The sequence below is a fragment of the Homo sapiens genome, chromosome 16 (genome assembly GCF_000001405.40).
Source record: "Homo sapiens chromosome 16, GRCh38.p14 Primary Assembly".
Taxonomy (NCBI): Eukaryota; Metazoa; Chordata; class Mammalia; order Primates; family Hominidae; genus Homo; species Homo sapiens.
In genome coordinates, this window is record NC_000016.10 from 14,059,006 (window position 1) to 14,071,941 (window position 12,936).

Sequence of the window (12,936 nt, forward strand, 5' to 3'; positions counted from 1 at the left end):
CACCGCCCCCGGCCCAAAGTAATACATATTTAATCCTTTGTATAACTCATTATTGACATAATATTTTTTCCTTTTATTTTTATTTGCCACATAATAATTGTTCATATTTATGGGATACAGATATTTTGATACATACAGACAATGCTCAAATCAGTGTAATGATCAAATCAGGGTATTAACATATCTAGCACTTCAAACATTTATCATTTCTTTGTGTTGTAAATATTCAAAATCCTCTCTTCTAGCTTTTTGAAAATATACAATAAAATATGTTAATTATAGTCACCATACAGTACTACAGAAGCCTAGAACTTACTGCTCTCATCTAGCTGTAATTTTGCTAATCCGTTAATCAACCTCTCCCTGCCCCCTCTCCCCGCTACCTGGAAGGGTCTGCCTTGTAAGCTATAGGCTTTGGTTTTGCTGAGCTGAGTATTCAGGTGGTCATGGCTGATATTTTAGTATAAGTGTTAGGATGCTAGTCAGATGACCCAAGGACAGGACGACAAGCTCTGCCCTCCACACAGATGCAATCTAATGACAGAGGCATCCAGTCGGCAGGTGCAAGGCCATTTGCAGGGCCACACTGTGGAAGATGGTGACAGCACATCAAACTGAGTGTCCAAGGATTATGCCTGCAAACCATGAGTGTTCCAGTGTTTAGAGGCAAGGTTGTGAGAAAGGAGGAAAATCATGCTGGACAGAAAGACAGGCGTGAGCCAAAACACAGAGGAAATGGCACAGCATGTGCCTAGAAAGAGAAGCTTGGAGTTGGCTAGAAGATAGGGTCCAAGGTGAAGGGGAAGACAAGAGCTAAAGCTGGAGAGATAAGCAGGGGCCTTGTGCAAACCAGTGGGGCCTCGGACTTTAAATATGGAAGGACCTGGGTCTGAATTCCAATTTAGCCATGTGCTCGCTGTATGATCATGGGCTACATTTCAGAACCCTTCTCAACTTCAATATTCATATCTGGAAAACAGAGAGACATGTAATTTTTTTTTTTTTTTTTTTTTTTTTTTGAGACGGAGTCTCACTCTGTCACCCAGGCTGAAGTGCAGTGGCGCAATCTCAGCTCACTGCAATCTCTGCCTCCTGAGTTCAAGCAGTTCTCATGCCTCGGCTTCCAGAGTAGCTGGGATTACAGGAGCCCGCCACCATGCCCAGCTAATTTTTGTACTTTTAGTAGAGACAGGATTTCACCATGTTGGCCAGGCTGGTCTCGAACTTCTGACCTCAAGTGATCTGCCCGCCTCGGCCTCCCAAAGTGCTGAAATCACAGGTGTGAGCCACTATGCCCGACTGAGACACATAATTTTATGATATATACGTTAGGCTGAGAGCCTATGCACCCAGTCTTGGGTCACACAGTTGATGAATGGATTCGCCAGGAAACACATCTATTTTTATTACAGGTCAAGCTTTATAGTTCATAAAGCTCTCATATATTCTCACTTCATTTCGCAGGTTTCAGGTCTCTTACCCTGTTTGAATTTTCATTTTTCTCTCTCGGCACCAGTCTTCTCCAATCTACGTAGCCCTCAAGGGTAGGGACCACATCCTATTGTTCATCACGAGTGGTCCATGGTAATGCAGGGGTCTCAGGCTTGGCAGTGCAACAGAATCACTGGGAAGCTCCAGAAATCTGCAGAGATCTGGGCCTCATCCAAGGTGTGTTGAACCAGAATCTTTAGAACTGCTGCCTGAGCTTTTTCTCTTATCCAGGTGGGGTTTGGAAACACAGCAGAAATATGTTCAAGGGAATCAGTGAGCAAGTGACCATCCTAGATATATCAGGCGGGATAGGCTAGTGCATGCTATGACAGCCATCAACCAGGAGCTGCTTAAAACAACCAAAGTTTGGCCGGGCGCGGTGGCTCACGCCTGTAATCCCAGCACTTTGGGAGGCCAAGGTGGGCAGATCAGGAGGTCAGGAGATCGAGACCATCCTGGCTAACACAGTGAAACCCTGTCTCTACTAAAAATACAAAAACTTAGCCAGGTGTGGTGGTGGGAGCCTGTAGTCCCAGCTACTCAGGAGGCTGAAGCAGGAGAATGGCGTGAACCTGGGAGGCAGAGCTTGCAGTGAGCCAAGATGGCGCCACTGCACTCCAGCCTGGGCGACAGCGCAAGACTCCGTCTCAAAAAAAAAACAAAAAAAAACACCAAAGTTTGTGTTTTGCTCATTTTGTGCCCACAATGGGTTGGCTGAGGGCTCTTCTCAACAGAGCCAGCGCCATCCTGGGCATTGCTATTTGCCCTGCCAGAGACACAGAGCTCTGGCCCAGAAGAGATACTTACTCTCTCCATTCACACTCCTTGGCCAGAGCTAGTCAGAACACCTCACCCAAGTGGAAAAGGAAGTGGAGCCCTGCATGTGCCCAGAAGCTGGGGAGCCTGAAGTCAGTCATTGGTGAACAGCACAGATAACTACCAGGTTCTATGAAGCTGGCATCACTAACTTCATTTCACAGTGAGACTTAAGAAGCTTGTTCAAGGCCAGACAGCAAATATGGAGCAGGATTTGAGGTCTTTTTTTTTTTTCGGTCTGGCTCAAGGTCATCTTTTTTTTTTTTTTTTTTTTTGGTAACAAAGCTGGATAGTGCAGGGCACTCAATCTAGTGGTTAAAAGCCTGGAATCTGTACTGCCTCCAGACCCTCAGCTCTACCACTTACCAGATGTGTGAGCTAGGCAAGTAATGGAACCACTTTACACCCATCAAAGAGAGAGTCAAAGGAGGGGGAGGGCCAAGGAAGGATGTATTTTCTGGAATGAAGTGTTTGGAACCAGGTAGGACTTGCCTGAGTAGGACTGGTAAGGTGGGGAGGGAATAGATTTTAAAATTGCACAGAATTTAAGGTGGTTCCTGACATAGCCAGGGAAGAGGCATGCTTATTCCCCAGAAATTGCTCCCTTCCTCCCTGTACCAGTGTAAATATTTGGGCTTCAAAGAACAAAGAAGCCAACTGGAGTTGGTCTGACCACATGCATTAGCTCAGGGAAGAGAGTGGCCAGGGCTTTGTGGGTCTGGGGTCAGTCCAGCAGCTTGGTGATGTCATCAAGGACCCAGATTTTGTTTTGTTTTGTTTTGTTTTGTTTTGTTTTTTGAGATAGGGTCTTGCTCTGTCACCCAGGCTGGAGTGCAGTGGCACAATCACAGCTCACTGCAGCCTCAACCTTCCAGACTCAAGCGATCTTCCTGCCTCAGCCTCCTGAGTAGCTGAGACTCCAGGCACCTGCCACCACTCCTGGCTAATTTTTATATTTTTATTTTTTGTAGAGATGAGGGTCTCGCTATGTTGCCTAGGCTGGCTTTGAACTCCAGGCTTCAAGTGATCCCTGTGCTTTAGCTTCCAAAGTACTGAGATTACAGGCGTGAGCCACCCACCCAGCCTCCAGGATCTTTTGGCATCTGTGCCATGCATGCCCTATGTTAAGGCTCATTCCCATCACAGCTGTTGGGAAAGCCATTGGTGGCAACAGAGGTTCCAGGTAAGCAGGGGGAGTGGGCTGGCTTCCTGGGTTCTCCCTTACAGCAGAGAAAGTTTGCCTCCCCACTACCCCCGGTGAGCCCCTGTCCAAGTCTCACAGGCTCTGATTGGTTTTGGCCTGTAAGGGGTCGACGTCCTTGGATGGAAACGCGAGCTGGTTTAAGCAGAATTGGGAATGCAATAGAGGATGTTAGGTATCCCACAGAATCACTGGGAGGGCCAGAGAAAAGAACTTGAGGCTAAGCTTCTAGGAAAAATGCCCCAAACCACACTGCAGGCCTGGCTGGATGAACTAAACTCCACCCTGCTCCTGCGCCATGAAACATCAGTGCCAGGAGCCTGCCCTCACTTTAGCCGCTGCTGCCGTCAGCACGGGGCCCACTATGCCACTGGGAGCTCGACCCTGCAACCACTACCCCCAAAGCCAGCCACTTCTGCCACTGACACTTCAACATTCTCATGGGGTGCCTCCAGGTGACAGGGCCGACATCATACGGCTTGTCTTAGTTGCAAGGAAGGCAGGAGATCTGCATCTTGATATCTTCTCCGGGGTGCCCGGACTTACAATGTGGGATTTCCTCAAAGACAGATAGGTTACAGATACAACGCTGTCTCCTACATCCTGCCCATCCTTGATCCAGCACTGGGTGCGGCAGAGGTGGCAGGATTGAGCTTAGATTGACCAACAGGAACGATGAGTATCTGAGGACCAACGACGTTGCTCACAACACCCTTCTGCTTCTGGTTTGATTTCTTTCTCTCCACTGCCTCCATGTGCTCGGGGTGCACATGTGTCTCAAGATGTCATTAATTTTTTAAAATCACATGTATTATTATATATTATGCCCAAATCACATAATCTATTGTTTTTTAAATTATAGTTTCAGGGGCACATGTGCAGATTGGTTCTATAAATTGCATGTCGACAGGGTTTGGTGTATGTATTATGTCGTCACCCAGGTAATCAGCATGGTATCCAATAGGTAGTTTTTTGATCCTCACTCTCCTCCCCGACTCAACCCTCAAATAAACCCAAGTGTCTATTGTTCCCTTCTTTGTGTCCACATCTGCTCAATGTTTAGCTCCCACTTATAAGTTAGAACATGTGATGTTTGGTTTTCTGTTCCTGCATGAGTTCACTTAGGACAATGGCATCCAGCTCCATCCACCATTCCTGTTGGTCAATCTGAGCTCAGTCCTACCACCTCTGCCGCACCCAGTGCTAGGTCAAGGATGGGCAGGATGTAGCAAACAGCTGTCGTACCTGTAGCCTATCTGTATTGAGATGTCCATGCTGCAAAGGACATGATCTCATTCTTTTTCATGGCTGCATAGTATTCCATGGTGTATAGGTACCACATTTTCTGTATCCAGTATACTGTTGATGTGCATTTAGGTTGATTCTGTGTCTTTGCTATTGTAAACAGTGCTGCAATGAACATACACATGCATGTGTTTTTATGGCAGAATGCTTTATATTCCTTTGGATACATACCCAATAATGGGATTGCTGGGTCCAATGGTAGTTCTGTTTTAAGTTCATTGAGAAATTGTCAAACTGTTTTCCACAGTGGCTGAACTAACTTATATTATCACCAGCAGTGAATAAGCATTCCCTTTTCTCCACAGCCTCGTCAGCATCTGTTATTTTTTGACTTTTTAATAATAGCCATTCTGACTGGTGTGAGATGGTATCTCACTGTGGTTTTGATTCGCATTTTTCTGATGATTAGTGAGGTTGAGCATTTTTTCGTATGCTTGTTGGCTGTATACATGTCGTCTTTTGAAAAGTGTCTGTTCATGTCCATTGCCCACTTTTTAATGGAGTTGTTTTTTGCTTGTTAGTTTAAGTTCCTTATAGATTTTGGAATTAGATCTTTGTAAGATGCTTAGTTTGCAAATATTTTCTCCCATTGTGTGGTTTGTCTGTTTACTCTGTTGATAGTTTCTTATGCTGTGCAGAAGTTCTTTAGTTTAATTAGGTCCCATTTGTTGATTTTTATTGCAATTGTTTTTGGCATCTTCATCATAAAATCTTTGCCAGGGCCTATGTCTAGAATGGTATTTCCTAGGTTTTCTTCAAAAGTTTTTATAGTGAGGTTTTATATTTAAGTCTTTAATCCATCGAGTTGATTTTTGTACATGGTGTAAGGAAGGGGTCCAGTTTCAATCTTCTGCATATGGCTAGCCAGTTATCATGGCACCATTTATTGAAAAGGGAATCCTTTCCCCATTGCTTGTTTTGGTCAACTTTGTCAGAGATCAGATTGTTGTAGATGTGCAACTTTATTTCTGGGGGCTCTATTCTATTCTGTTGGTATATGTATCTATTTTTGTACCAGAACCACGCTGTTTTGGTTACTGTGGCCTTGTAGTATGGTTTGAAGTCAGTAATGTGATGCCTTTGGCTTTGTTCTTTTTGCTTAGGATTGCTTTGGCTATTTGGGTTCTTTTTTGGTTCCGTGTGAATTTTAGAATAGTTTTTTCTAAGTGTGTGCAGAATGTCATTGGTAGTTTGATAGGAATAGCATTGATTCTGTAGGTTGCTTTGGGTAGTATGGCCATTTTAACAATATTGATTCTTCCTGTCCATGAGCGTGGAATGTTTTTCCATTTGTTTGTGTCATCTCTCTTTTCTTTCAGCAGTGTTTTGTAATTCTCATTGCAGAGTTCTTTCCCCTCCCTGGGTAGCCGTATTCTTAGGTATTTTACTCTTTGTGTGGCTATTGCAAATGTGATTGCATTTTTGATTTGGCACTCAGCTTGGATGCTATTGGTGTATGGAAATGCTACTGATTTTTCTACATTGATTTTGTATCCAGAAACTGTGCTGGAGCTGTTAATCAGATCTAGGAGATTTGGGGCTGAGACTAAGGTTTTCTAGGTATAAAATCTCATATTATCTTACAAACAGGGATAGTCTGACTTCCTCTTTTCCTATTTGGATGCTTTTAATTTCTTTCTCTTGCCTGATTGCTTGGCCAGGACTTCCAGTACTATGCTGAATAGGAGTGGTGAGAGTAGGCATCCTTGTCTTGTTCTGGTTTTCAAGGGGAATGCTTCCTGCTTTTGCCCACTCAGTATGATGTTGAAGATGCCTCTTAAAGCCTGGTGTGATGGTGCACCTGTAGTCCGAGCTACTCAGGAGGCTGAGGAAGGGAGACCACTTGAGCCCAGGAGTTCAAGGCTGTAGCATGCTATAATCACACCACTGCACTCCAGCGTGGGCAACATAGCAAGACCCCATCCCTAAAAAAAAATTTTTTTTAATGTATTTTAAGGCTCTGGTCCACCCTGCCCTCCCAGCCACTAACACTTAGCACTTACCTCCTCTTTGCTGATCTCTAGAATGCTCTCCCCTCTCCTTCCTGCCTAGTTCTCTCTGATGCATCCTTCACAACACAGTCCAAGCAAGTTCTTTCCTACCCTTCCATCCAGCCATTTTCTTGTCATTTGCTCCTCTTTTTCATTCTACTTACTACATTGTATTTCAACTTTTATTGGTTTAATTATTTAATTAACACCTCTCTCTTCCTCTAGACCATAAATGCCATGAAAGCATGGACTATACCTGTCTTGCTCATAGTTATTGACATACTAGCTGGCACTTAAGTGCTTAATACATTTTTTATTGAATGAATGTGCATAAAACAAACCCCACTATAGGACTTTATAAAATTCTTCTTGGATCAAAAGACACTTTAATAGTGCTTTTTTTTGGAAACCATACCTTATTTTTTATTTTTAATTTATTTTTATTGATTTTTTTATTTATTTTATTATTATTATTATTTTTTGAGATGGAGTCTCACTCTGTTGCCCAGGCTGGAGTGCAGTCACGCGATCTCGGCTCACTGCAACCTCCGCCTCCTGGGTTCAAGCGATTCTCCTGCCTCAGCCTCCTGAGTACCTGGGATTACAGGTGCATGCCACCACACCTGGCTAATTTTTATATTTTTAGTAGAGATGGGGGTTTCACCATGTTGGTCAGGCTGGTCTTGAACTCCTGACCTTGTGATCTGCCCACCTCGGCCTCCCAAAGTGCTGGGATTATAGGCATGAGCCACCGTGCCCGGCCTATTTTTTTATTTTTTAAAACCTCTTACTTTTAAGCTCTGTTGGACTTGATGGAAACCATACCTTAAACCTTTAGGGGTGTGCATATGAGACTCACCTCTGTGTTTTTGTTTTTTATAGAGATGTGGTCTCTCTCTCATGCCCAGGCTGGAGTGCAGTGGCACGATCACAGCATCCTACAACCCCCAACTCCCTCTCCCTCCCACCTTGGCCTCACCAGTTGCTAGTACTACAGGCACAAACCACCATGCTTAGCTAATTTTTTAATGTTTAATTTTTTGTAGAGACAGGGTATCATTATGTTGCCCAGGCTGGTCTCAAACTCCTGGCCTCATTCAATCCTCTCTCCTTAGTCTCCCAAAGTGCTGGGATTACAGGAGTGGGCCACCATGCCTGGCCAGAATTACCCATTTTGTTTGTTTGTTGTTTTCAAAGAATAACGCCCCGTGGTCTTGTTATGCCCACCCCTTCCCCATGAGGATCACTTCCACAGGTCCACAGGGAGCCGCTCACATTGATGGGAAAGTATGGCACATCTTGTGTCAGGATGGAAACCTAAATTTGGCACAGCAAGGCCTGAGGTTAGTGGCAACTTCAGTTCCTATAAAACGTTCCCTCAAATCATGATGTCACTTTGGTGTTAACCCTCTTTTTTTTTTTTTTTTTTTGAGACAGGGTCTCCCTCTGTTGCCCAGGCTGGAGTGCAGTGGTGTGATCTCTGCTCACTGCCAGCCTCTGCCTCCTGGGTTCAAGTGATTCTTATGCCTCAACCTCCAGAGAAGCTGGGATTATAGGCATGCGCCACCACACCTGACTAATTTTTGTAATTTTAGTAGAGACAGGGTTTCACCATGTTGGCCAGGCTGGTCTTGAACTCCTGACCTCAAGTGATCTGCACGCCTTGGCCTCCCAAAGTGCTGGGATTATAGGTGTGAGCCATGGTGCCCAGCCTGGTGTTAACCCTTAACCACATCAAAATTCTCTTAAGTTTCAGCTCAATTTTTTCTTCGCTTTTATTTTTGCCTATGAAGTGACTTCCAAGTCATATCTTTAAAAATATTTGGGTGGCTTTTCCTATAAAAGCAGAGTCCTTTATAAAGCAGACTGCCCCTCCCTCAGGAAACTGGGAAGAGATTGCTTCAGGAGAGCTGGTATCCTTTCATGACTAGGGGGAAGTACTGGAGTAATTCTGCCCATTTTGAAAATATTTATTGTTCTCAGAATTATTTATTTCATTCAGAAATATAATTAAAAACTAATTTTATTTTTATTATTTTTGAGACAGAGTCTTGCTCTGTCACCCAGGCTGGAGTGCAGTGGTGTAATCTCAGCTCACTGCAACCTCCACCTCCTGGGTTCAAGAGATTCTTGTGCCTCAGCATCCCAAGTAGCTGAGACTACAGCCGCCCGCCACCATGCCTGGGTAATTTTTGTATTTTTAGTAGAGATGGGGATTCAACATGTTGGCCAGGCTGGTGTCGAACTTCTGTCCCCAGGTGATCCTCTCACCTCGGCCTCCCAAACTGCTGGGATTACAGGCATGAGCCACCACAGCTGGCCTAAAAACTAATTTTATTTCTGTATATGAGCCCATCCTCCTACTTGAATTGCTATTTCTACTGGGCAATGAGGAAAGGATAAAATATCACAAAGAATCCACCCATGGTAATAACAGCTTTGATTTACTGAGTGCTTAATCTTGTAAGGCACTTTTCCGTATGCTTCACATATATTAAGTTGGTTAATTTTCCCTACTCATGTTCTTATGTTAGATGAGAACACTGAGGCACTGGCCACCCGGAGGAGAACATAACAGCATCTTACACTGGAGTCCTGACCTCAGGGGATTTGGGGATTTTCTGTTTCATAAAGATAAAGGCTTTTGAGGTAGGGAATAGCCTTGTTGGTCACGAAAGGCAAAGTTTGTGCATTTGGAAACAGGCTGATCTGGGGTGGAACCAACCACTTGCCAACTGTGTGTTGTTGCGTGTTGTTGTGTGTCGTTGCGTGTTGTGTGTGTCGTTGCGTGTTGCTGTGTGTGTTGTTGGGCATGTCCTCTCACCTCTTATGTTCCTGGTTTTCTCATCTGTAAAATGGGGACAACCATAACTTCCACAGGGGATTTGTGACGGTTGATTTTAGGCATCCGTTTGGCTGGATTAAAGGATACCCAGATGGCTGGTAGAGCATTACTTCTGGGTGTGTCTGTGTGGGTGTTGCCAGAAGAGATTGGTGTTTGAATCAGTGACTGAGTAAGGAAGATCTGCCTTCATCGCCATCAGTTGAGGGCCTGGATAGAACAGTAGAAGAAAGACAAATTCTCTCTTTCTCTTCCGGAGCCAGGACACTATCTTCTCCTGTCCCTCGACACCAGAACTCCAGATTCTCCAGCTTTTTTTTTTTTTTTTTTTTTTTTTTTGAGACAGTCTCACTTGATGCCCAGGCTGGAGTTCAATAATGCAATCTCAGCTCAGTGCAACCTCCTCTTCCCAGGTTCAAGCGATTCTCCTGCCTCAGCCTCCCCAGTAGCTGGGATTACAGGCACCCATCACCACACCTGGCTAATTTTTGTATTTGTAGTAGAGAACGGGGTTTCACCATGTTGGCCAGGCTGGTCTTGAACTCCTGACCTCAGGTGATCCACCTGCGTCAGCCTCCCAAAGTGCTGGGATTACAGGCATGAGCCACTGCGCCCAGCCCAGGTTCTCCAGCTTTGGACTCTAGGACTCGCTCCAGTGGCTCCCAAGTTCTCAGGCCTGTAGCCTCGAACTGAGAGTTACACCATCAGATTCCCTGGTTCTCGGGCCACAACTGCGACTGAGCTATGTCACCAGTTTCCCTGGCTTTCCAGTTTGGAGATGGCACATCGTAGGACTTCTCAGCTGCCATCATACATCCCCTCTTATGAATCTATATAGTTTTTTCTTTTTTAGAGACAGGGTCTCACTCTGTTGTCCAGACTGGAGGGCAGTGGCACAGTCAGAGCTCACTGCAGCCTCGACTCCTGGGCTCAAGAGATCCTCTCACATCAGCCTCCAGAGTAACTGGAACTCCAGGCATGTGCCACCATGCCCAATTCTTTTTATTTTTTGTAGAGACGGGGTCTCACTGTGTTACCCAGGCTGGTCTAAAACTCCTAGGCTCAAGTGATCCTCCTGACTGGACCTCCTAAGGTGCTGGGATTACAGGAATGAGCAACCTTGCCCAGCCTACATCTATCTAGAACCTAGTAGCTGTGTTTCTCTGGAGAACCCTAATACAGGGTTGTTGGGAGGGCTAAATAAATTAATAAATAGACAGCACCTGGAGCAGGGCTCAGCACTTTGTAGCTGCCCAGCAGGTGTGATTTTCCTTCTTCACCCACTTCCTCCATCTGGTGAGTTGAGTGAGGTTGAAACATGCAAGGGCACCCACATGCTCTGGCCTGTACACAGCAATTGGTTCCGGGGAGAGTGGACAGGTTTGGAGCATGGGCAGGCCAGCACTTGCTGACATTGATGTGATTATCAGGTGGGCTGGGTAAGCCCATGCAGACGCTGTTGCAGGTGGAAGGCTACCTAGAACCTCCAGGGCTCCTGATCTTACAGCAGCCGGCCCAGATGAGCTAGCTCATGCTCGCTTGCTTGCAGAACAGGACCTACCTACAAGGTAGTGCTGGGCTCCGGACTCAGACCCAGGTTCAAATCCTATTTCACAATGGAAACAGGCTACTTTCTCCACCTCCAGGATTGCAAGAAGATTGGTATGACCTTGATATGCCCGCAATAAATGTTAGCCCTTCCTCTTTACAAACAATTATTATTTCATTAAGACTTACTCCTGGGAAGAAGTCACACTTTTCTGTGTGCTAACATCATGTACATTCTGATTCTCTGTCCTGTGTGCCATTCCATCATGCTCTCTACCAGCAAAACGCCACCAGTCTAAGGAGGAGACAGAACCGCATAAAAATAGTCACACAGTCTTCAGAGCTGCACAGGGAGTGGCACAGGGGCTTCACAGGCCTTGGGAAGTTTGTAAAGTGAGGGAGAAGCACTTTACTGTCGCCAGCTCCATTGAAAACAGATTGTAGCAAATGACTTCCCAGGAGCTCCTCCTCTCACCTTGGTGAATGTTGGGAGAGAATGAAGACTGCGGCTGAGAGGCAGCGCCTTGAGCCTTGAACGGAAAGAGGGACAGGGCCTGGGGGCTGTCACTGAGGTGCAGAAATGGGTTTTGGGCTGGGCATCAGACAACCCCAGATCCCAACACTGGCTCAGCCAATTCCTGGCTGTGTGACATGGAGCCATTACTGTACTTTCCTTGCCAGGCCTCCATTTTTCCTCTCTCTAGAATGGGGAGGCTGGTAATACCCACTTTGGAGGGCAGTGTGAGGACCGAAGGGGGCTGTTAAGTGCTCGGCGCGCAGCGAGCACTCAGGACGGGTGGCAGCGGTCACCTTTGTCGCCACCGTCCAAGCCTTTGCAGAGGCTCAGGGCCGAGCCCCGGACATGCGCATGCGCACGCGCACCCGGCCGGCCAGGTGAGAAGGAGGCGGCCGCCTCGCACCTGGGCTTTAACCCTTCCCAGTCACGGGAGTGGGCGGAGTGCACGCAGGGACGGAGTCGGGGGCGAGCAGCGAGAGAGGCCGGGCTTGACCCTTGAGGCGGGGTGGGCAGCGTCCGGGGAGCGCGCCGAGCCGCTTCTAGCCTGGGGTCCGCGCGCGCCGCGGGGAGGAGGGGGAGTGCCGAGGGGAGCGAAGTCTCGCGAGATCGCGCGGCGGCGGCGGGAGCGGCGGCGGCGGCGGCCGGGGAGGTGAGCGGCGGGCGGTGGCGGCCGTTGGGGGCTGAGGCCGGGTGAGAGCGGCCGAGACCGAGGGCTGGGTGGGGGAGCGGGCCTGGTGAACATCCCGCGTCCCAGGCAGCCATCCCTGTTCGTCCCCGCAGCAGCTGCGGCGCCGTTTGGTCCGCACCGTCCCCGGGACTCGCGCGGGGCGGGGCGGCCGGGGCCGCGGGCCGGTGCCTCCTTCAACCGGTCCTCGCGCCCGGGCGCGACCCCGGGGCCGCCTCAGTGTCCATCTCGACTGCAGAGTTGGCCCTGCTGACAGTGGCAGCGGCGTTTATGGAGCCTCTGCTGTGTGCCGGGCACTTAAGTTGCGCGCTTGCACGCCGGGGCTGCACAGAGAGGTGGAGCGCCCGGGCCAGAGCCACACTGCGAGGAGGCGGTGGGAGGGGACCGGGACCCCTGCGCCCCCTTCCTCTTCCCACCTCCCACTCCCCTCAGCCCTTTTCTCCTGGGGTCCCGACCAGGCTTCAGAGGGGGTGTCTGGGAGCGCCCTGAAGTTGGATGCAGCTTGGTATATGGGTTTCTTGGGAGAGAGTTTTTCCAGGG

At 47.5% G+C, this 12,936-nt stretch overlaps 1 protein-coding gene across 23 annotated transcripts in view, besides 2 other annotated features; it reads left to right on the forward strand.

Annotated features, from left to right (window-relative positions):
- The window catches only part of MRTFB (myocardin related transcription factor B), a 272,006-nt gene that overhangs the window by 64,232 nt on the left and 194,838 nt on the right, over positions 1 to 12,936 (forward strand). For 8 of the 23 annotated variants that reach the window (XM_047434391.1, XM_047434390.1, XM_047434399.1 and 5 more), the window contains exon 1: positions 12,308 to 12,360. The exons of 1 other annotated variant lie outside the window; for it this stretch is intronic. The gene's annotated coding sequence lies outside the window, so the exon portion shown is untranslated. Of the gene's footprint in view, positions 1 to 12,056; positions 12,089 to 12,307; positions 12,402 to 12,936 lie in introns of those variants that run through there. 14 more of the 23 variants (XM_006720909.5, XM_011522568.3, XM_047434400.1 and 11 more) reach the window with 3 other exon arrangements.
- Positions 12,089 to 12,558: a silencer, noted in NCBI's record as "silent region_7226". NCBI's record gives its function as "represses an Ori minimal core promoter by ATAC-STARR-seq in GM12878 lymphoblastoid cells {active_cell/tissue: GM12878}" and the evidence as "EXISTENCE:reporter gene assay evidence [ECO:0000049][PMID:35858748]".
- Positions 12,699 to 12,778: a silencer, noted in NCBI's record as "silent region_7227". NCBI's record gives its function as "represses an Ori minimal core promoter by ATAC-STARR-seq in GM12878 lymphoblastoid cells {active_cell/tissue: GM12878}" and the evidence as "EXISTENCE:reporter gene assay evidence [ECO:0000049][PMID:35858748]".